This window comes from Homo sapiens, chromosome 2 (assembly GCF_000001405.40).
Source record: "Homo sapiens chromosome 2, GRCh38.p14 Primary Assembly".
NCBI classification, from domain to species: domain Eukaryota; kingdom Metazoa; phylum Chordata; class Mammalia; order Primates; family Hominidae; genus Homo; species Homo sapiens.
The window spans coordinates 18928593-18954378 of record NC_000002.12 but is presented as its reverse complement, the minus strand read 5'-3'; the positions used below and the strand labels follow the sequence as shown (position 1 = coordinate 18954378).

Sequence of the window (25786 nt, the reverse complement as noted above, 5' to 3'; positions counted from 1 at the left end):
TCAACATTAAAAATTCAATGCTATTTGCAATAGCTCCTCCCAAAAACTTAGCTATAAATCTCACAAAATATGTATAAAATCTACATGCTGAGAAATGCAAAATACTGATGAAAAAATTAAAGAAGACCCATATAATTAGAAGACATATACGTTCATGTATTGAAAGACCCAGTATAGTGAAGATGTCAATTCCTCTCAAACTTGTCAATTGTTTTAAAACTATTTCAAGCAAAGTGTCAGAAGGTCTTTTTGTAGATATAGACAAGCTGATTCTAAATTTTATGTGGAAAGGCACAAGGATTAGAATAGCCAAAACAATTTTGGAAAAGAAAAATAAAATTGGGGTAGTCATTCTACCCAATTACAAGATTTACTCTAATGCTACAATATCTAACCTAGTGAAAATATAGACATATAAATAAATGAAACAGAATAGAGCCTCCAGAAATAGACCTGCTCCAATATGGTCAATCAATTTTTGACCAAGTTTTAAGACACAATTTAATAAAGAAAGAGTAGTCTTTTCAACAAATAGTGTTGGAACAATTAACATACATATGCAAAATATATACCTTAACATAATTTTTATACAAAAATTAACTCAAAATGAACCATGGGTACATATAAAATGTGAACCAATTAACCTTTTCTACTCTTTTTGTTCTGGAATAAATACTTTTAAAAAATGAACAAAAAGAGACGTTTAGGCAAGTGGGTTCTGATTGTCTTGATTTTGCAAAAGCAAAGAATCTTATCCATGGATATGATATGATGAGGTGATTTATTGAACTTGGAACTCCCTGAAGACAAATTTAATTCTTATTACTCACACCTATCCTCCCACCAGATAATTCTTCAAGATACACACATCAGGAATAATCTGCAAAGCAATAATCAACTTGGGATTATTTCTGGCAATTGTAAATGTATCACAGTTGGAGAATTAACCACAACATTTTTTTTAATGAATTGTTATCTTTATTGGGAAAGAGAATACTGCCTATGGCTTTGCCTTTTTAAAACTCTCAAATTCTGGGATGTGATGAGAAATCCAATATTTCAGAAAAGGTGTAACAACGCTAGTGGTGGATTTGCATTTGTTTTCTATCTCTGCCCCCTCGTGCACACACATTTCCACATGCGGGCTCTGGGAAACCAAAGGCAACCCTTCTCTTTCTGAACTCCATCAGTAATGACTCCAGTAACAATAACTGTCGGGGGCTGGAATAGTAAACATTTTGTAAAAGCAAATGGCTTCCAAATGTGCACTTTCTCCGTGAGCATGTCCCTTGTGAGCCTGACTCAGAAAGCCAGAGCAGGTAAAAGCACCAAGCCCAAAGTCTGATGACAGGATCAAGCAGCTGAAATCTGTGATGGGTAACCTCAATCCCATCTGCAATCTCTTCTCTCTTTCCACTGTAAGGTGAGTTTACTTGGCCTGTTGATTTGATCTATAAGACTGGCCCTTTATGAGTTTTGTGTACTGTGTTTATCCTGGGAACCATTTACAAAGCCACTAGGTATCTAAATATAACCTGGCCTACTGGCAGGGGGATTGCTAGGTGGAGGTGAGTAACTACTCAGCTCCCTTGACCTTTGGGTCTCCTATCTAGAAGAAAATATTTTAATTTTACTAAGACTTAGTATCTGTGTTTTCAGAATGGCCACTTAATCTCCGGAAATTAACACTATGACTAAATCAAGAGCCCCAAAGCTATTTATTTACTTGTTTTATGGGAACCCACAATATTATGTAATATTCATAAAATGCAATATATGCCACTAGATTTAAAAACAATGCTTTCAAAAATTTTGAGCATGTAATTAAGGAAAAGGGCAGTGATAAAAAATTATGTACCATTTTATTAAAGCACTCTATAATGGGGATGTCTGCATTAAATGGAAACCATATAGGAGGAGCACAATAGAAACTTTTATTGCTGGATAGTGGGATTATTAGTGATTTTTATTTTTTAGGTTACAGTCATGAACCAGATGATGACATTTTGGTCAACAACAGGCCACATGTATCACCCTGATTCCATAAGATTGCAATACTCTATTTTTATTGCTCCTTTTCTATGTTTAGACACGCAAATACTTATCATTGTGTTACAATGGCCTATGGTATTCAATACAGAAACATACTGTCCAGGGTTATAGCCTAGGAGCAATAGGCTATACTAAATAGGTAGGTGTGTAGTAGGCTATACCATCTAGGTTTGTACCACTACATTCTATAATGTTCACAGAATGACGAAACCACCTAATAATGCATTCCTCAGAACATATCCTCGTCATTGAGAGATGCATGACTATATTTACGTGTTGTCAATATTCTTGCCTAGAACGTAAATTTATTTATTTTTAAATCTTGAAAAGTAACACTTCAAAATATAACTATTATCTCTACATTTTGGAAATAGATCAGATTTTTATATCTTTCTATAGTGGGATCATTCTACTCTCCCTGTAGTTACAAGTTATCAATTAAAGATGTATTATTATTATTATTATTTTTATTTATTTATTTTTTTTTTGAGACAGAGTCTCGCTCTTTCGCCCAGGCTGGACTGCAGTGGCGCTGTCTTGGCTCACTGCGAGCTCCGCCTCCCGGGTTCACGCCATTCTCCTGCCTCAGCCTCCCGAGTAGCTGGGACTACAGGCGCCCGATACCACGCCCGGCTAATTTTTTTTTTTTTTTGTATTTTTAGTAGAGACGGGGTTTCACCGTGTTAGCCAGGATGGTCTCGATCTCCTGACCTCGTGATCCGCCCGCCTCGGCCTCCCAAAGTGCTGGGATTACAGGCGTGAGCCGCCGCGCCCGGCCAAGATGTATTATTTTATAATTAAAAAAACTAAACTAGAGGATTTTTATTGGCATCTTAGTGAATAGGAAAGTGGTTTTCTTTTGGGATGGAGTCTTGCTCTGTTGCCCAGGGTGGAGTGGAGTGGCGCGATCTCGGCTCACTGCAAGCTCTGCCTCCCTGGTTGACTCCATTCTCCTGCCTCAGCCTCCTGAGTAGCTGGGACTACAGGCGCCCGCCACCACGCCCGGCTAATTTTTTGTATTTTTTAGTAGAGATGGGGTTTCACCCTGTTAGCCAGGATGGTCTCGATCTCCTGACCTCGTGATCCACCCGTCTTGGCCTCCCAAAGTGCTGGGATTACAGGAGTGAGCCACCGTGCCTGGCCGGAAACTGTTTTATTTTATCTTATTAAATAATTATTTTAATCCTCCCCAAAATCACTTCCCTTGGCACATCCTGGCTTAGTGTCTTAGGGACTCTGGTGTTTGGGGTTGCTCCCTTTCAACTTTCTCCTTCATTCCTAGGGAATTTCCTTGTTTTCCCCTGCTGACAAAAAGTGTTCTGTGGAAACAAGGGGCCAGCTCAAGTTACAGAACTAAAAGGATTGTTTTAAAAAGCAGATAATTTCTCATCTAACTGCACAGCTTCTGGCCACCAGAGCAGCTGAATGAAGCTTGAAAAACTCAGGGACATCCAAAGGTGCTTGCAATAAGCAAAGCAAAACAGTGCACACTCCCCAGCCAGGGTCTCAAGGCCCCACAACGAACAGCTTCACCCAAGCCTGCAGCTGCTGGCTATTTTCTATGAGAGCTGGGACAAGACACACTGGGCCGGGACCTCTGCGTAACTTACACAGATGCTGAGCCTTTTGCAAAGTCTGCTGGACATACACCATCTTCAAAGAACCCCCACCCCATACATCCCTTTGAAGAACTTGCTTTACTCAGGACAAAATATCAAGATTCTTGCTGTTTAAATTTCACAGGAAGCCAAGGCACTGATAAATGAGAGCTCATCCATACATGTTTTCACTCTGTTACCTAAGAAACTATCTTCAAAACAGAAGTCCTCATAAATACTCTGGAGATGCATCAGACACTCTCCGGTGCTGCACGACACTGTGTATATTGTTTGGCAAGAGTTCATGGGGGAAGATAAACTAGCACATCTTGCCAGGATTCTATTACTCTTGACCCTGACCTTGGCTGGAGGCTGTTTCCAGTTACACTCCATCTTAAAGAAAGACAGCACCTACTCTTTCCCCGTTTCCCTCTTCTCTTCTGTTTTCAGTTTCCCCAAGCACAATGCCTCATTGGAGGGAAGAAATATTTGTTGGCTACTGCTTCTCATTCTTAGCTTTCTCATCTGAACACCAATACTCAAATGATATCATGAAACCTTTAGTAATGGAGGCTCACTTTTAGAAAGCACCTGATCTCTGCACAATATTGCTCACTGTGATTATTTTTTCCCCTGAGTCATGACTCAACTTAACTGTGCCCTCTCTGCAATATGAGGTTCCTCAGGTTCCAACGTATGGTCTACCAGGGTAGTATTTTCCATTCCTCACTCCCACCAGCTTAGGCTAGGTTCACTTCCGATACTCTCCAGGGGAAAAAATAAGTTTCCCATTGAGGTGGCACCATAAGCTACAAAGCCTGGGGAGACTCACGGGGAGTGGCCAAGGGCTTCATGCGCAGAATTTTTTCTATGTAGTAATTGTAACTGAAGCAGAATACTACAATTTTGAGAGGCTCAGGTTTAATAGTACCTTTAAAAGTGAAAATAATGGCTGTATTGGTCCATTCTTGCACTGTTATAAAGAAATATCTGACACTGGGTAATTTATAAAAAAGAGATTTGATTGTCTCACAGTTCTGCAGGCTGTATGGGAAGCACGATGCTGACATCTGCTTGGATTCTGAGGAGGTCTCAGGAAATTTACAAACGTGGCAAAAAATGAAGGGAAAGCAGGCTCATCTAAGGTGGCTGGAGCAGGAGGAAGGTGGCAGGAGGTGCTACACACTTTTAAACAACCAGATCTCAGGAGAATTCACTCACTATTACGAGAACAGCACCCAGTGGGAAATCTGCTCCCAAGATCCAATCACCTCCCACCAGGCCCTGCCTCCAATATTGGGCATTGCAATTCTACATGAGATTTCAGTGGGTATGCAGAGCCAAACCGTATCAATGGTTAATATTAATATTTATCGAGCAGTTACAATGTTTTTTTTTACCTGTATCTCATTTTATTCTAAAAATAATCCAATGTAGTAAGTATTATCCCAATTTCACTTATGAGAAAACAAAAGCTTGATGAGGATAAGTAATTGTCCTGTAGGAAATTAAATGGTAACTGATAAAACTTTCCCTATGTAGAGATACAAAAATCTAACCTAATTCTAGAATATAGAGATAACTGTTACATTGAGTGCTGCTGTTTTCAAGTCTTTTAAAAAAGTGTTCTAGACAAAAACTTGAGAACACATAAATAGTATGGAAAATAAAAATCCCTGGTAATCTCACCACCCAGTAATAAAAGTTGCCCCCACTTTTGTTTTTTTTTATCTATATATTGTTTCAGTTTAATGCAGACGTCCTTCATTATAGAGTGCAGTACTGACATGGTTCATAACTCTTACCACTGTCTTTTTCCTTAGTCACATCTTTAATATTTTTGAAAATATGATTCTTAAATTCAGCTGATACACATTTTATGACTAGTACATAATTTATTTACCTACTGTTCTCTTCTTGAGCATTCGGATTTTTGCTGGATTTTCACATAGTGACCAAACAGGTACATAAGAAATACTTCTACATATTTCTAATTATTTGCCAGAGTCTAGAGTGCTAACCATTTTTCTCTCCAGTAAAATAAGTAGGGCAGAGAATCTAAGCAGGATTAAGACCTTATATGAACAATACCAATTTGTGACACAATTAAGGTGTTTGAAATTTCCTTAGGTGGCCTACAGGAGCCTGCATTTGCCTAGACATCCACCTCAACAGATGGTGTCAATGTCTGCTAATATGACAGGCAAAGAATGGTTATCTCTAATTTTTTATAAATGTTTCTGGAATTAAATTTGTTTCCATATGTATTTTGAGTGTTTTAAACATCGCTCTTCATTTTCTGTTTCATTGTTTTGCCCATTTTATATAAGAAACTTTAAAAATTTATTTCTAAAGATACTTAGAATATTAATGTGTTAAGGTTAATCTTTGACAAAAATATTTTCCCAAGTTTCTGCCTTGGAGTTTTTGTATACAATATATGTTGATGGAATTTTTTTGTGTGATAAGATGTATCAATTTTATTATAATTTATTTATTTATTTATCTTGCTGTTATTTATTTGGTTGTCATTTTCTTTGTGTGTGTGCCTGTATGTGTGTAAAAAGCCTTCCATACTTCAAAATTGGGTACCTAGTTACTTATTTTTTTTCTAGTTTCTTCACAGGATTCTCTTTTTATATTTAATTTTATATTAATTTAAAATTAATAGTGACATATGAAATGAGTTAGAAGTTTAACTATATATTCTCCCCAACTAGTTGTCCTGTTTATTATTCCTGGTGAATAAAAATTAAGAAGAATGGATATCTATAAAACTCAGTCTTTTCATCCAGGGACAGGTGTTTTTTTTTTTCATTATTTTAAAATTGTTATTAAAGTTTTATTGTGTTCTTTGCACATTTTTGGCGGCTGAATATTTTGTAGGTGTTTTTATTGTTAGTACAAATAGACTATTTTCCAAATGTCTTCAAACTAATTTATGCATTTATATGAGAAAACTATTGATTTTGATTTTTTGTATTATTCTAATAACTGTAAGCTATTATTAATTCTACAAAATTTTAGTTGAATATCTCCTGAATTTTTGTTAATACTGTTTTTAATCTAGAAACCCAAGTTATTGTTGGTAAATACCTGTGTGTGTATGTGTGTTTATATGTATGTGTATTCTCTCAAAAGCAAATTCTGGTATTTGCTCTATGTATTATTACCAAATTTATAATTACTATTTAGCCTATACTCTATGCCTTCTGCTTCTAGCACTGAACACCATTACATTAATACTATATTAACTCCAATCTTGAATTATTAAATTGTAATCATTGTTCAGTCATTTTTAAAAGAAGGATATGTGAGAGGCATATTTTCTAAACCCTAACGTATCATAAAGAGAAAGAACTGTCTTTGTGGTCATCTATGATATGAACAAACTCTTTCCTTTTATAACTCCTTATCTGTGCATGTTGGAGTACAAATTCAATACAATAGAAGCAGAAAGCTGGGATAAAAATTTCAAGGCTAGTTGGATAAGAAAAGTGTTCAGTTGCACAGGAATGATAAGACAAATTATTTTTTATCTAGTAAATGAATCCAGTAGACTTCTTACATGGCTTCTGCTGTACATCAATTTTAAAGGTCAGGGCGGTGGTAGTACTCGTTAAATCTTAGAATATCTCCTAAATCCCCAGTTCTCTGGAGTTAGCTAAACCCAAACTGTTTAAGTCTCTGAGAACTTTTCAACCTAATTCTTTTTTTTTTTTTTTTTTTTTTTTTTTTTGACGGAGTCTTGCTTTGTCGCCCAGGCTGGAGTGCAGTGGCGTGATCTCGGCTCACTGCAAGCCCCGCCTCCCAGGTTCACCCCATTCTCCTGCCTCAGCCTCCCGAATAGCTGGGACCACAGGCGCCCACCACCACGCCCGGCTAATTTTTTGTATTTTTAGTAGAGACGAGGTTTCACCGTGTTAGCCAGGATGGTCTCGATCTCCTGACCTCATGATCCTCCCGCCTCGGCCTCCCAAAGTGCTGGGATTACAGGCGTGAGCCACCACGCCTGGCCCAACCTAATTCTTTAATAATAGTGACATCTCTAAAACAAAATTTGCTCACAGTCAGCAGTCAGTAATTTCTTCTTAGCCAGGGTAGAACTCTTTTATTGCACGCTCTAAAAAGATTATTTGTAAACATGACTGTATTATTCTGTGTTTTCAAAAGACAGGCAAAAAGATATTTGTATTTCTAGAGATAACCTCAGCCATGAAATAAGGTGCTATGTTTTTAAATAGTATATAATATATAATCAAATTATAAGCAATTTTAATTAGCTTTAGAAGTTAAAAATATTTTTTATCATTAAGAAACTATAGAATTGTCACCTTCTAAATGAAAAGAGATTCTATTAAAATTTTATGTTTTTAGTGAGAACACATGGGCACAGGGAAAGGAACAGCACACACTGGGTCCTGTCATGGGGTCGGGGGAGGGAGAGCATCGGGATAAATAGCTAATGCATGTGGGGCTTAATACCTCAGTGATGGGTTGATAGGTTCAGCAAACCACCATGGTACACGTTTACCTATGTAACAAAACTGCACATCCTGCACATGTTCCCTGGAACTTAAAATAAAATAAAACAAAAATAAAAAAAGAAAAATAAATGAAAAAGAAAATTTTAAAAAGTTAAAAAATTATGTTCTTGATACAGAGAAAAATCTTTAGTTTATTAGTTATTTTTACTCTTGCCATGTTTCTATAAAGGCAAGAAAATTAAGAACTGAAAAGCAAACATGGTCTATTTCTTTCATCACCCCACACTATATCTCTGTAATTTATTTCTATAATGCAGGAAGGGTACTAGGGAAGATGACAAGTATTATGAAAAGATATATACTGGCCAGGCACGGGGTCTCACGCCTGTAATCCCAGCACTTTGGGAGGCCCAGGTGGGCAGATCACGAGGTCAGGAGTTTGAGACCAGCCTGACCAACATAGTGAAACCACATCTTTATTAAAAATACAAAAATTAACCAGGCGTTAATCCCAGCTACTCAGGAGGCTGAGGCAGGAAAATCGCTTGAACCCAGGAGGCGGACCTTGCAGTGAGTCGAGATTGCTCCATTGCACTCCAGCCTGGGTGACAGAGCAAGACTTCATCTCAAAAGAAAAAAATATATATACATTATATATTATATATATTTTATATAATATATATTTTATATATTTTATATATTATATTATATATAAAGAGAGCAAGAAATTTCACATTCTTAAGAGAAATGTCACTAAGTATTGACAGAAAAAAAAACAAAAACTAAACTAGAATGTTAACGTTCAAACTAGTCTTAAGGAGATAAATCTACATAACCTTATTTTAAATCTGATTCTAGAATAGGATATATTAGGAGATATTGAATTAAAGAAAGAAAAAAATGTAGGGGTAGATCACACTTCAATTTACAATAGATAAAGTTGACTAATAAAGGAATGAGACTGTGCCTTAATGTCTACACATTAAGGTAGTCAAAACAATGCAAGATAAGAAAGTCCAAATAAGACTCAAGAATCCAGAAAGCATTTTATAAATGATAAACAAATTATTGGGGGAGGATAAAGAGTAGAAATGACATGGAGAAAACTAGCAGCCAATTAGGGAACAAAAAAAGGAAACCCCCACTTCATTCCTCACATCACAATACATTCAAATGGATCAAATAAAATGAAACAATAGGTATTATAAAATATACATGGATAAAAGTTTAGAGTGGTGAAGATGACTCTAAGCATGACATAAAATGCAAAATTGATTAAATTGGTAACTTAAATCATTAGAAACATAATGAAGTGAAAAGGCAAGTTGCAAACAGAAAAAAACATACGTGCATCATAGATGATCAAACATTGAGCTGATAAATACAAAATATAAACAACTCTTAAAAATCAAATGGCAAATAATTGACCTAGGAAAAATATGGACAAAGAATATAAAAAGGAAAGCACTGTGTAAGAAATACAACCAACCAATAGATACATAGAAAAAAGTCAACCTCCTTACTAGTAAAATAGATATAAATTAAAGTAACAATGAAATAATAGCATGTTTGACATAGAGACTGACAAAGATAATCAATTTTGCCAACATTTGATGTTGATAAGGATATCAGGAAAATACCCTTCTATTTACTGCTAGTAGGAACATAATACACATTATCTTTTTGAGTGGAAATTGGAGATATAAACCAAACAAATATCCATGATTTTTTATTCTATGCAACATGATGTTCATTGTAAATTATTTACATTTTCATACTAATAAAACGAGGAATAATCAATTGTCTAATAATAACAAATAAATCTTTTATGATACCATCATGCAATAGACTATTATGTCCCATTAAAAATGAGGAAAATAAGGTAGATCTTACGCATATACTCACATAAAAAATGCCCAAAATGTATTGTTAATTTAGAAATAAAAGGTTCCTAATAATACATTTTGTATAATTTTATTTCTTTTTTTTTTCTTGAGACGGATTTTCACTCTTGTCACCCAGGTTAGAGTGCCACGGCATGATCTCGGCTCACTGCAACCTCCACCTCCTGGGTTCAAGCGCTTCCCCTGCCTCCCCTTCCCTAGTAGCTGAGATTACAGGCTCCCACCACCATGCCCAGCTAATTTTTGTATTTTTAGTAGAGACGGGATTTCATCATGTTGGCCAGGGTGGTCTCAAACTCCTGACCTCAGATGATCCACCTGCCTTGGCCTCCCAAAGTGCTGGGATTACAGGTGTGAGCCACAACGCCTGGCCTGTATGATTTCTTTTCTGCTTTTTAAAAGTATTTATATTTTACAACTGCACTCACGACTCACCTCTTTCTCTTTCTTATCTCTTCTCTATCTCTCCATAGTCTGCATTGGAAATATCTGAAAAAACACCAAAATTTATCTGTGATTATTAGGGATATGTGATTTTAGTGGACTATCACCTTTAAATAATATATCGCTATATTTTATAACATTTTACTATGGGAAATATTTTTACTTAAAAATATCAAATATTTTAAAAGAAAACATTATTAAAAATATGTAGAAACATGGGAAATGAATATACTTCATTTGTTTTGGAGGCATATTTGGGATAATTGCTTTGTTTTTTCATTTACTGACATCTCCAATTGCTACAACCTCCTTTGTGTTATAAACCATGGAAGATGATTAATTGGAATCAACACCAACAGCTAACTTCCTTCTACTTGGCCTTATTGTTACTGTAAGGGTTGAAACCTAAAATGACATTCACAAATTCCTTGGCAGGTAAGCTTTCAGATGTCATTTAGCTTTGATCATTTAGATTTACTCATGTAAAATCTATGGACTTCCAAGCATTCAAACTGCAAGGATGATGATGAAGATGGTGATGATTACGATGGTGATGATTACGGTGGTGATGGTAATGGTGGTAATGACAGTTTTCTGCAGCAGCATCAGCAGATGTCCTAGTGATGAGTAGCTGCCTTCCTAAGAATTAACAGAATTTAGGTCATCCATTTTGCCACTTCTGGAGGTGGCAGCAGTAGTAGCAATTTCTCAATTCAGTGTTTCCCTGATAATAAAAGAGTCTCTGAGTTGCCCTGGGTCTGCTCAAGTCAGAGTCTGTTTCTTCAAACATTCAAAGGATTCTTCTAAGCTGGGTAATATCCACCAATGAGTCTCCTTGTTCTTAAACTAGAGTGTTGTCTAGTACCTAAGTTCTGATTGAGGTATTGTCAAATAAATAAGTGAAGAGATGAAAACATATAGAAAACAAATATAAAGCACCCGGGTAAAAATGAGCAAATATGAATCACTAGTGATACATTTCTATGGCTTCATAAAGTATATTCGATTGAGTCACTACTGACAACCTTTCTAGATGTATTTAAGTTATAGATTCTGGGATGTTTTTAAGTTACGCTTAAACCTTTCAATACCTACTTTTACTGTGTTCCACTTTGTTCCACTTTACAGAAATTACATTTTTACTAATTGAAAGCTTGTGGCAACCCTGCCTCAAGTCTGTCTGCATCATTTTTCAAACAGCATGTTCTCACTTCATGTCCTGTGCCACATTTTGGTAATTTTCACAATATTTCAAGCTTTTCATTATTACTATATCTGTTATGGTGCTCTGTGATCAGTGATGTTCAATGTTACTGTTATAATTGTTTTGGGGAAAAATGATCTATGCTCACATAAGTCTGCAAACTTAATTGATAAATGTTGTATATGTTATGGGTGCTCCATCAACAGGCTGTTCCCCCATCTCTTTCCCTCTCTGTGGGCCTTCCTATTTCATGAAACACAAACGTATTGAAATTAAGCAATTCAGTAATCTTAAAATGGCTTCTGAGTGTTCAAGTGAAAGGAAGACTTGCACATCTCTCACTTTAAATCAAAAACTATAAACAAATAAGCCTAGTGAGGAAGGCACATCAAAAGCCAAAATAGCTCAAATGTTAGGCCTCTTATGACAAACAGCCAAATTGTAAATTCAAAGGAAATGTTCCCATAGGAAATTAAATGTGCTACTTCAGTGAACAAATGACTATAAGAAAGCAAAACAGCCTTACTGCTAATATGGTAAAAAAAAAAAAAAATGTTTAAGTGGTCTAGATAGAAGATCAAACCAGCCACAACATTCTTTTAAACCAAAGCCCAAAGCCTAATCCAGAGCAAGGTTCTAACTCTCTTCAATTCCATGAAGACTGAGAGAGGTGAGGGAGCTGCAGAAGAAAACTTGGAAGCCAGCAGAGGTTGGTTCATGAGGTTTAAGGAAAGAAGCCATTCTCACAAAATAAAGTATAAGGTGAAGCAACAAATGCTGATATAGAGGCCATAGCAAGTTATCCAGAAAATCTAGCTAAGATTATTGATGAAGGTGGCTAAATAATAGATTTTTCAATGTGGATGAAACATCCTTATATTGGAATTTTCACAGCTAGAGAGGAGAAGTCAATGCTTGGTTTAGAAGCTTCAAAGAATAGGTTGATTCTCTTGTTTGGAGCTAATGTAGCTGGTGACTTTAAATTGAAGCCAATGTTCATTTATTATTCCAAAAGTTCTAGGGCCTTTAATAATTATGCTAAATCTACTCTGCCTGTGCTCTATAAATGGAACAACAAAGCCTGGATGACAGCACATCTGTCTACAGCATGATTTGCTGAATACATTAAGCCCATTGTTGAGATTAATACTCAGAAAAAAAAACTATTTCAAAATATCACTGCTCACTGACAATACACCTGGTTACTCAAGAGCTCTGATGGAGATGCACAAGGAGACTAATGCTGTTCTCATGCCTGCTAACACAACGTCCATTCTGCAACTCATGGATCAAGGGGTAATTTTGACTCTGAAGTCTTACTATTTAAAAAATATATTTTGTAAGGTGATAGTACCATAGATTGAGGTTTGCCACATTGATTGACTCTTCCTTTCACAAAAAATTCTCTGCAGCATGTGATGCTGTCTGATAGCATTGTAACCACAGTAGAATTTTTTTCAAAACAGAAGTCACTCCTCGCACATTCTGCTACTACTTTATCTAGCAGGTTTCTGTAATGTTCTTAATTCTTTGTTGTCATTTCAACAACGTTCACAGCATCTTCACCAGGAGTAGATTCCATCTCAAGAAACCACTTTCTCTGATCATCCATAAGAAGCTACTCCCCATCTGTTAAAGTTTTATCAAGAGATTCTTGCAATTCAGTCACATCTTCAGGCTCCATTTCTAATGTGAGTTTTCTTGCTGTTTCTACCACATCTGCAGTTACTTCTTTCATTGGGCCAACATAATAAGTTGTAGGGGAAAGTGTGATGGGGCTTCTTGTTCCCTCACTTCTAATAAATAGTTAAATGAAAAAGGCCTCCTCCCCTCCCTCCCTCATCCCTGAAAGCTGTCTTTTTTGAATGTGATGCCAGGATGCTCTGGCGTGTCTTATAACCATAAAGGAAGTCATTTTGAGGGCGAAAGGGGGAGAAAGCCAAACTATTCAGCCTTCTTCAATTGAGGTTCTGCTTTGGAATCACAGAACAAAGATGTGAATCTTTTCTTAATTCTCTCAAGAGTGATAGTAAATACTACCACTACAGATGCATAGAAGTTAATTAATTGCATGCAATAGATGCCTTAAGGCATTAGGGCTAAATTCTCTGGAGATCCAGTTGAGAAAAGCTCCATAATGAGTGGGATAATGGTACTCACTGTTATTATTCTGTATTTCTTTTCATGAAAAATAGTACATTTCCTTATTATTTAAGGTAATTAGAGGTGGGGTTTTCTGAAACTTGCAGCTGAAAGCAATTTAGCTCATATACCCCTTACCGTGAGATATAGTGAGTTTCACTTCACCTTTCTGTTTCCTCGTTGATGGACATGGCAGCTAATGTGAAGTCAGTAAGTATTTATTGTTAGCAAAGAAGTTTGACATCTTCAAAGTTATAAATCATGGCTCTGTTATAAGTTCCTTTTAGAAGGGTGATAATTTGTTAGGTTCATTCAGACCCTCAAATTTGAAAACATTTTATTCATCATTTAGAAAAACAAAACTAGATTGTCCTGAGCACTGTTAGGATGAATAAACTTTTAAGACTTAATGATTTAATAACTAGCCATGAGAATAATTCAGTCCCAACAATTGCTGACTGTTGACAGTGTAAGTATAAACATGACCTCCATTCATTCATTTGCTGACAGGCCTTCGGAAGCTTGAGGACATGAATGGCAAGTGTGTATCAAGCATGGGCCAATTTGTTTAAGTTGGACGTTGCCTTGAGGGAAGGACAGGGACAGTGTTTTCTCAGCAAAGTTTTTCACTTGCCTTACTGAGATGACGAAAGATACGTAGAAAACAGGAACCAGGAGGCTTTGTGGAAGCTAAGTTGATGAGATCACTGAACTAACCCTCGGTGTTACTTAGAATGGTCATCACTTTTCTTTAACACTGCTAAAGATTCTCCCCAGTGAAATTAGGCAAGAAAATAAAAAAGCATCCAGATTGAAAAAGAAGTAAATCTGTCTAGTCCCAGGTGACATGATGGTCTATGTAGAGGATTCGATGAAATATACTAAAATGAGCTATTAGAATGAGTGAGTTAGTAAACTTGCAGGGTACAAGATCAATACACAAAAACTAATTGTATTTCTACATACGGGCACTGAACAATTAAAAATTGAAGTAAAAATTTAACCATATCACCAAAATATGAAATACTAAGGGATAAATCTGACAAATAACATCCAAAATCTATATGCTGAAAACTTCCAAATATTGCTGAGAGAAATTTTAAAAGATCCTAATAAACGCAGAGATACACTGTGTTCATAATTTGAAAACTGAATATTGTTAAAATGCTAATTTTTCCCAAAATGACCTGTAGATTCAATGCAATTTCAATTAAACATATCGTTTTTGTTTGTTTGTTTTAATATAATTGGACAGGCTGATTCTACAATTCAAATAGAAATACAAAGGACCTATGTAGAAGAGCCAAAACAACTTTTTCAAAGATAAAAAAGTTGGAGGATTTACATTATCTGATTCCAAACCTTATTATAAAGCTACAGCAATTGAGACAGTGTAATATTTATCTAAATACAGACAAATGGAATAATAGAATAAAAGGGACCGGGCGTGGTGGCTCACGCCTGTAATCCCAACACTTTGGGCGGCCAAGGCAGGCAGATCTCGAGGTCAGGAGATTGAGACCATCCTGATCAAAATGGTGAAACCCCATCTCTACTAAACAACAACAACAACAACAACAAAATCAGCTGGGCGTGGTGGCGCCTGCCTGTAATACCAGCTACTCAGGAGGCTGAGGCAGGAGAACCGTTTGAACTTGGGAGGCGGAGGTTGCAGTGAGCCGAGATCTCGCCACTGCACTCCAGCCTGGTGACAGAGCAAGACTCTGTCTCAATTATAAAAAAAAAAGGAGATTCAGAAATAGGTCCACACATATATGTGTAACTTATTTTTCCACAAAGGTTCAAAGGCAATTCAGTGGGAAAAGAATATATTTTTTTAACCAATCAGAAAACTAAACAAAAAAGTTTCAATTCATACATTTAGCCATGCACAAAAATTAACTCAAAATTGATTTTATACCTTAATTTATAAATTAAAATCATAACTTTCAGATTAAAACACTGGAGAAAACTTTTGTGGTTTTGAGTACATTTAAGTTATTTCAAACATTGATAACTTGGGTTATTATTTAAGTTATTTCAAACATTTGATAACCTGGGTGTCATCAAAATTAAAAACCTCTCTTTTTGAGACACTGTTTAAAGATAAGGAAAACCACAAACTTGGAGAAAATATTTGATAAAGAACATATATCTGATAAAGAACTTGATTTCAAGTTTATAAAAAAGTTTCAAAATTCAATTATAAGGAAACAAGCAACTCAATACAAAATCTGAACAGATATTTTATTGATGAAGATGTACAAATAAAAATAAGCCCATGAAAAGATGTTCAATATTATGAATCATTAAAGAAAGGCAAATTAAAATGAAAATCAGATACCTACTAGAATGGCTAATAGGAAAAAGACTGATCATCTCAGGTGTTGAAAAGTATATGGAGGAACTCTCATTCAATGCTGGTGGTAATGTTACACAGAATAGCCATGTTGCAAAATAGTCTGGCAGCTTCTTAGTTAAAGATGCAGCTGCTATATGATTAAGTTATTATAGTCTTATGTATTTACTGAAGAGAAATAAAATTACATATCTATAGAAATACTTCAACACAAATGTTCACAGAAACTTTATAATAATCAAAAGTAGGCAACAACTCAAATATCCATCAACAAATAAATGGATAACAAATGTGGCATATCCATACCTTGAAATACTACTCACATAAAAGGAATGAACTATTGATACACTCAACAACATGGATAAACCTCAAAATAATTGTACGGAATGCAAAAAGATAGGCCGGCCAAAAAGAGTACATACTGTATTATTTCATATATATAACATTCTGGAAAAATGCAAGCTAACAATATCAGAAAGCATATTGGGGTTTACCTGGGGACATGAGCAGGAGTGGGGAGGGGAAGGAGAGAAGGATTACAAAGGAGTACAGTGAAATGTTTGTCGGTGATGAATATTCGAATATTCTTGTTGTCTTAATAGTGGCGATAAGTATACACACATGTTAAAATGTATCAGATTATACTATTTATGTCTAGGTTATAATGTATAAAATTATACTATTCATGTCTAGCTTATTTATGTCAATTACACCTCAATGAGTCTGTTAAAATAATTCAGAAGTGTGATGAGTCTTCATAAAGGGGAAGGTCAGAGTGCTACGGGAACATAAAATGTGGTAACTTCCTCTAGGCTCCTTCTCAGGGCACCTACCTAAACTGGTAACAGGCTACATAAGGTCTTGGGAGCTTTTTGAAAATCTGAGAAGGAATTTATATCAAGGAAACTAAAAGCCAAGTCAGTGACGGGAGATAACTTAAAAGCATCAGAAATAAGAAAGGTAGCACATTTAGAGTTTTTTTTCAGCTTTAATAAAAGTTATGTTAACAGCAACTTAATGAATCATGTTTTATAGCACATTTATTATTAGAAAAAAGAATCCCAGCCTCTATTATGTACTGAGTATTTGTATAGTCTCTGCATATACAGACATGAAATATGTCTATATATATATAAATATGCCTATATATATATGCCTCTCTCTCTCTCTCTCTCTCTCTCTCTCTCTCTCTCTCTCTCTATATATATATATATATATATATATAATCATTCCTAGATCTCTCTCTCTCTTATAGAGAGAGAGAGAGAGACAGAAAGAGAGAGCTAGGAATGATAATATGAACAATAATAATCAAACATTAGTAAATATTATTTAAATAGCATAAATATTTCATCAAGTCCTCTACATAGACCATCATGTCACCTGGGACTAGACAGATTTACTTCTTTTTCAATCTGGATGCTTTTTTATTTTCTTGCCTAATTTCACTGGGGAGAATCTTTAGCAGTGTTAAAGAAAAGTGATGACCATTCTAAGTAACACCGAGGGTTAGTTCAGTGATCTCATCAACTTAGCTTCCACAAAGCCTCCTGGTTCCTGTTTTCTACGTATCTTTCGTCATCTCAGTAAGGCAAGTGAAAAACTTTGCTGAGAAAACACTGTTCCTGCCCTTCCCTCAAGGCAACGTCCAACTTAAACAAATTGGCCCATGCTTGATACACACTTGCCATTCATGTCCTCAAGCTTCTGAAGGCCTGTCAGCAAATGAATGAATGGAGGTCATGATTATCCTTACACTGTCAACAGTCAGCAATTGTTGGGACTGAATTATTCTCATGGCTAGTTATTAAATAAATGCTATTATTTAAATAGCATAAAAAGTTGCACCACATTATAATTAGTGTTAATTAGGACAAGATTTCATCAGGGTTGCATGTAGCATGTGACATGTGCAGAAAATGGATTCAACAAGAGCACCTAGAGGTACTAAACTCAGAGGGATGGATTTACCTTAAATAAATTTCATATATATCAACATATATGGTAGACAGTGACTCATTGATTTACATTGAGAATTAAAATTTCTGAATGTGTAAGAATGCTTATGCTATCAGGTAAGCACATACTCTCCCAGGTTGGAAACAGCAAAATCATTTTTAGAATTTTGCTTTGAAAGAATGTAGCCAGAGCTGAGCGCAGAAAAAGATGAGTCTTTACTATAGAAACAGACCTATCAATGCTAAGTTCCAGTACATTTGAGCACCCTTTCCCCTGGACCACGAGGGAGTCATAAGTATGACAATTTTTTGTTTTCCTTTAAAAATCTGAAGTGAAGCATCTTTCTTCTGTGGGTGCATATTTTATTGGTGAAATCGTGTCCCCCAAATCCCTATACTGAAGTCCTAGACCCAGTACCCTACTGACCTACTGAGGTCACCCTCTGAGAAATAGGATTTTTGCTGATGATCACATTAAGATGTGGTCATTAGGATGAGCCCTAATTTAATATGGCATTTGAAGATGAAGGCAGGGATTGAAGTGATGCATCTATAAGCAAAGGATGTCAAAAATTGCCAGAAAATCACCAGAAGCCAGGAAAGAGTCATGGAACATATTCTCTTTCACAGCTCTTGGAAGGAATCAACACTGCTGATACCTTGATCTTAGACTTCTAGCTACCAGAACTGTGATAAAATAAATTTCTGTTGTTTCAGCCACCCAGTTTTTAGTATTTTGTTTACTTCAAACAAATACACAAAATTTCTTAGGCTGGTGCAACGTTTATGTCTAGTTTTTCTTTCTATGCCTAGACTACATCCTTCAATTAGATTTCTATACCTACTGCTATGGTTCAGAAGATACTCTGTCTCCTAGTCCCCTAAAAGGACTTCTGCAGAAATATCTCATCCACTCTGATTTAATTTTACTGGTTTAGCTCTTAGAGGTAGTGGTGGTTTTCCCATAAAAGTCATATTCGCTCACACTTGTATAATGCATTTATATAAAGCACTATTCTGGGAACAATCTGATTTTTCATTTGGCTACCCAAGTACCCTGTGAGATAAAAAGAATCCTACCATTCACACCTTATATCCAAATTGCAGGTGTTAACTTTAGACAAATTGAACAGAGTTTGAGCAAAGAATGATTCATGAATTGGGCAGCACCCAGAACCAGATGTTCAGGGAGCTCTACTCTGCAATGTGGGCAATGAATGTTTACACACAACAATGGAGGTAAAATGCAGAAATAGCTTGATTATTTACAGCTAGGCATTGCCTCATTTGGACATGATCTGATGAGCTGGCCTCATGTGATTGGCTGACACCCTTATGAGTGGCTGAGACCTGGCTGTTACAAAACATAGACTTTTAGTTGGCTTTCAATTTTTTTACATATAAAAAGGTTGCAGGGTTTTTTTTTGTTTTTTTTTTTTTGAGATGGAGTCTCACTCTATCGCCCAGGCTAGAGTGCAGTGGTACGATCTCGGCTCACTGCCACCTCCGCCTCCCAGGTTCAAGCGATTGTCCTGCCTCAGCCTCCTGAGTAGCTGGGATTACATGCACACGCCACCACGCCTGGCTAATTTTTGTATTTTTAGTAGAGACAGAGTTTCACTGTGTTAGTCAGGCTGTTCTCGAATTCCTGACCTTGTGATCTGCCCACCTCGGCCCCAAAGTGCTGGAATTACAGGCATGAGCCACCGAGCCTGGCCTTCTTTTTCCTTTTTTGAGACGGAGTTTCACCCTGTTGCCCAGGCTGGAGTGCAGTGGCGTGATCTCAGTGAGTTGGTTGCTCACTGCAACCTCTGCCTCCCAGGTTTAAGCGATTCTCCTGCCTCAATCTCCCGAGTAGCTGCAATTACAGGTGCCCACCCCATGCCTGACTAATTTTTGTATTTTTAGTAGAGATGGGTTTTACCATGTTGGCCAGGCTGGTCGCAGTTTCTTACCTAAGAATTTAAAGTAGGGAAATATCCCCAGGCCAATTATTTAATTCCTGCTTATTTAATTTAACATAGGCATCTTCATGTTAATTGGCTACAATGGCCAGATTCAAGTCAAAGAGATTTGATTTTCAAAAACAAGGCATAAAATACAATGGAGATATCAACAACTTAAGAACCCTACAGAGTATCTGACACAATGACCAAATGAAATAAGGGAAATATTGGAATTGAATTACTTTTTCATAATCACCAGCCACCTAAATTCTTGGGTATTGAGAACAACTTAAACATCCTTCTTTGATTTAGTTTTTTATAGAGATTCTTGAAAGTCCATTATCGCTTTTGATACTGACTGAGGTATTAGTATAGTTCATGCATTCACTCATTTACTCATCCATCAGCATTTACTAAATGCCTACTCTGTTCTAAGCATCATGCCAAGTGTTTTGTATTTAGTGGTGAGCCACACAGGCATGGTCCCCTCTTTCATGTTATACACTGTCTAATGGGAAAATGCTATTTAATTAATACACCATTATAAGTTGTGGTAAGCACTAGAAGGAAAAAAAAAAGACTCTGAGTGTTATTAGAAAGAATAATGTAAAACCAAATGCTTAAGTACTTTGTATTTTTACTAAACATATCAGTCAAGTAAAAGAGACCTAACAGAAAGTTTTAAAGAAGCAACAACACTGGGGAATGGGACATAATTTCAGAAAGAGCAATGCCTGGGCTGACCTCAGGAGCAATGGGATCCAGGTATGCTAAATATTGGATGCTGATACCAGTACTATTTATTTCCTCTTCTCTTGTCTATTTCTCTCTGTGTATCAACTCCATTCACTTCTATTCGAAATCTCCTTTGTCCATTCTGGTGTTTCTAGGCTTATATCTTCACAGATTGAAGGCAATGCATGACAAGGGCCTTCCTTGCTAGCTCTGGTTACTTGGTAGAAAAAGTCCCTAAGAAATACTCCAATGGGCTCAGAATGAGTGTTTCATTCTGAGGAGCTACCCTTTAATGGTAAAACCAGAACTTAAGTACAGGATACTGAAGAGTAGACAACACTAAAAGAAACTGCATAAAAACTCCAGTTAGCTTAAACAGCTTTCACTTAAGTATTTCCTTTAACAAGCTAGGCAGCAACTGTGAGCAAGAAAGAAACAATGAGGGAGGAAGCCATATGCCATTTGCTCAGGAATTGGCTGGACTCTCATTGCTTTGGCCTCCTTCTGTGCTCCGCCAGTGTTTCCCATCACATTCAGTGTATGCAAAGCCACAAGCAGCTCCGGAGCAATGCAGGGGGTTACTGCTCTCTTCACCCTGGCAGAGACTGGGCATACATACTAATTAGGATCCTGGGAGCTCTTGGGGTGCGTTACATTCCGCTGATTGGCAGTTGCAAACCTCATCTTCTGATTTGCCACAATCAAAGGTACATTAACTGGTACAGCATTGCCTACATGCATTGTTTACTACTCCTTAGCAGCACATTCATAACTTTTGGTATTTTCTAAAATACATTTATCATTTTGAGGTTCAGCACGTATTTATCTCTTTTGAGTGAAAGAACCATATGCTTGCCTGTAATGGGGTAAACACTTACAACTTTATACTTGTGAAAAATGTGTTTATAAGCACAGGTCCATGTTGGGCAGGAAAGCTTATTTGCTACTTTTAAGCACAGCAAACATGTTTTTTATTTACTTCTGTTGGAATGAGAGAGAACTGTCACAGCCAAGAGGAGCCTAAGGAGTCTGGACCACAGAATGGAATGTGACATCCTGGATGGGATTTCACATTACGCAAAAGCTAAGAACATCTGAATTTAGTATGGACATTAGCTAATAATAATGTGTCAATGTTGTTCATTGATTTTAATCAATGTACCATACTAATGTAAAATGTTAATAATTGGGAAAAATGGGAATGGCTCTGTGGGAACTTGCTGTGCTATCGGTACACATTCTATGTAAATCTGAAACTGTTATTTTTAAGAAATCGGAGATGAGGCATTCTTTATAAAAATTCATTTCACCTATCACAGTGAGTCACGTTGTATTCCCACCTACTCACCGAGGTCAGAGGGATTGGTTATTATGATTGAAAAGCAGAGAAAAGAAGGGAGCGGTCTTCTGAGTCCCACAAAACAGTAGCAATTACATTTGGTTACAGTCATGGGTATTTGAACACTGAATTTTCAATACCTTTGGTATTTGATATGAATTATTAATGGTGCACAGCTAAAATGTAATTTTTCACTGATAAACTGATGACAGAATTTGAGATTTTAAAAGTACCATTCAATAAATACAAATTGCTGTTATGTTTATCTCTAACTACATCTGTTTACAGAATACATAATAGCTCTTCTTTTCCTTATGTAATAATCCCAAGCTAAGAATCTTCATTCCCTCGTGGTTTTCTCATACTCTTTTCCTCCTCTGCTGTTCTTTTTGTCCCTTTTCTTTGACTCTTCCAGCAATATTTATTGAGCATTAGCTCTCTTACAGTCACTATGCTTAGGCACCATCAACTAATATATCACCAGTGGGAGAGATGCATGCAAACACAAAATGAATTCACTGTGCAAGGATAAATAAGACAGCTGTCTTTCTGTTTACAAAGGATCTTTCAATGGTTCTAGGTTAGAAGGACAGATTGGCACAAACTAATTATTGAAGAGAAAGTCTGCTATAGGGTAGGAAAAGTCAGAAGACCCACGTTGGCCATGCGGGTATGGAAGACTTGAGGTGAGGCCCATCCCCTTCCATGGCCCCAGCTTTCTCTTGGGGCCATGGGATGAAGATGCCTCCAGCTCAACATTTGGGTGTTTGACTATAAGGGCTAGGGGCTCTTTAAGATATATTTGCTCCATATGATATTTAAAGATTTCTAATTCTCCAAGGATTGGCCAAGGAGGGTTTTCCTGTTTTTCCAAGCTGCCCCGCAGAACATATTATACTGTCCAGAAATGATGTTTAAAGTTTCAATAGCTTCTGGTTCTCTGGGCCACATCACCTTGCAGTTGCCCTCAAATTGTTTCTGAATCACGTTTCCTCTGGCATGAAGCAGGAGCCCTCGGTTCACATTACTCCTTACAATGCACAGCGCTCTCACCCTGCTGCAGAGGAGCTTTAATGTCAGAATGAAAAATGATAAAGCATAAATGAAATAGCAACCACATGTTCTCCGCAGTGTGGCCCTGGGCCTGCATGGCCTTTCAAAGGAGGGAGTAAACCAATTTTGCAGCACTCAGTAACAGAGATAGAGCCTGCCGAAAGGGAAGACTGCCTCCACAATCCACAACCTGGGGGAAACTGGGGACAGGAAGGGTTGACTTGCTGGCCAGAGTCACCCCAGAAACTGCCACTGTATGTGGAGTGCAGTACAGTGAGGGAGATAAAAAATCAGTGGGGAATGGAGAAGGTAGAGGACTACATTCAAGTCTCTATTAGCTCAGTCTATCCAGTTGATTCTACACTTTGATTGTCACATCCTTCTTTCCTCCTTATTCCTAGCCTTTCTTGTTCTCAGTTGGGTTCCTGTGGTATCCTTCTGACTGTCTAATTACTACAAGTAAAGTGATTTTAAAAAAAAACTGAGCTTTTTATGTTCCCTTATAGTAAAACAAGTCTAGACTCCTTTACACAATTTAAAATTTCTTTATGATCTTACGTCTCTTTTCCTGAGACTTTTTCAGGACACACTCACCTTATGTCTTAACAAACTACTCACAGTTCTCTTGATATATCATGCTCACAGCTCTCTTGACATACCATGCTCATGCACTTTTGTGTCCTTGCCCATGCCTTTCCGCAGTCTGAGAAGTCTTTGCCTCACATTGACTGACTGAAGAATTAATACTTATTCTTTAAGGTTCAATTCAGACATCACCTACTCTGTGAAGCCTATCTGATAGCTGTTATAGAAAAATTGTACTTCCACAGCTCTCTGGATAAATGTGGTCCCTTCCGCATTTATTACAGCATTTATCTAATTATATATTGTAAATACTTATTTACAATTCTGTTCTTGGCTTAACACCATGTGCAACTCAAACACAGGAGCTCTTTTCTAAACCTTGTTGTCCAGTGGTGTACTGGGGCAAGATATACCACTTGCAAGGGCCAATTGTATGCATCTATCCTACCTCTAACTTCATTGACGGCATATTAGTAGTTCAAAATCAACCATAGTGAAATTTATAGTACAGAAATTGGCAAATACTACCAATCAGCCTCACCTCTCACCTCCCAAAAAACAATTGTGAAACATTTACTGGTATTCTTACATTCATCTTCACTGCTTACATTCATCTTCAAAACCTAGCACAGGTTCTGAAATAGTGTTTACCAAAAACTAAATGAGTAAGGATATAAATTAATGATCTAGAATCAATGAACTAATAAATGATCACATTAGTATCTACTTAGTCTCATCAGTGCTTTCATAATAAATTTTCATCTGTAAAAGGAGGACATCCTAACTACCTATACAGAGAATAGCAAGGTGAGATGGATGGGGAAATGTTGAAATACATAAATCACATCATGTATACAAATCACAAGGGATTCAAATTTGTTTCTTTATTTTCAATACCTGTGTAGGAATGCTGTCAAATAGGTGATGAATGAAGAGTTGAAGGGTGGTCTGAATCCTTCCTATAGGCCACATACTCTTATTTTCTCTCATCCATAGGCTTTAGGTGCCATCTGCAGCAATTTTCAGATCCTTATACTTCTAATAAATGAATCAAATTGCTTGCAATATATCCCATCATCTAGTTTTAAATAGCTTAACTCTTACTAAAGAAGTATATAAAATTAATGGCCTTTGAATCCTGTTTAATTTGTATTGACTCATCGCTATGAATCTCATGTGCTGTCCCCAATCACTTTCACCCCCACTTCAGCTTCAAAAACTAGATCTGATTGAATCTCAGCCTATTGCCAAAATCTAGAAAGAATTTTTATTTATTACAAGGCCTACAAAAATGTACTGAGAAAGATAATCTGGGATCTATTCTTGCTAGGCTTCTGAAACCAGATTGAGCATACTGGCATGAATAGTGCAAATGATCTTTTGTGCCTTCACCTGCATTTCCAACTTGGTTCAGGAAGAAAAGATCCAGAGAGCATAAATGCTGTCCCTCTACTGTGATGACTCCTGCTTTTTGACTACACCAGACTTTTTTCTACTCTTCTCCACACCTTTTTTTTAGGCTTTCCCTTTCTGAAACCATTTGGAGGGTGCAACTCTTTCCACAGGGTTAGACAGGAACTTCCTATGTGTATGAGTGGACATGGCTCAGTGGACAGGTAAGGGGTGTGAGTAAGGTTAGAGTTGGGTCATGTTACCCTTGAACCTGAAAGCCCTAGAAATGCCAGGATCTAAATGGCAGGGGAGAGAGTCATATACAGAGAGTTCAACTTTTTCTTTTTTCTAATTTACTTTAAAAGAAAGAATGAAAGGAAATATTCTATCTTGACAAGATTATGGGTAACATTGTTTTCTTTTTGAAAATTTGATAATTTATGTTACTTTTAATAAGTAACATAAATTTAAGACGCATTCTTTAAATAAGTATGAAACAGACACTTTTAACTTGAGGGCTAGAGGAGAATTATTCTGGCACATTGGAGTGGAGGGAGGTCTTTCCAGATATTCAACAGCAGGGCAAGG

The 25786-nt window shown here is 36.7% G+C and overlaps 1 long non-coding RNA gene across 7 annotated transcripts in view; it reads right to left on the bottom strand.

Annotated features, from left to right (window-relative positions):
* Window positions 1–25786, bottom strand: part of LOC105373456 (uncharacterized) — a 529181-nt gene that overhangs the window by 134978 nt on the left and 368417 nt on the right. For 5 of the 7 annotated variants that reach the window (XR_007086229.1, XR_007086231.1, XR_007086227.1 and 2 more), the window contains one exon: window positions 10436–10530. The exons of 1 other annotated variant lie outside the window; for it this stretch is intronic. This is a non-coding gene — a long non-coding RNA (uncharacterized LOC105373456). Of the gene's footprint in view, window positions 1–8921; window positions 10531–25786 lie in introns of those variants that run through there. One more of the 7 variants, XR_001739304.3, reaches the window with a different exon arrangement.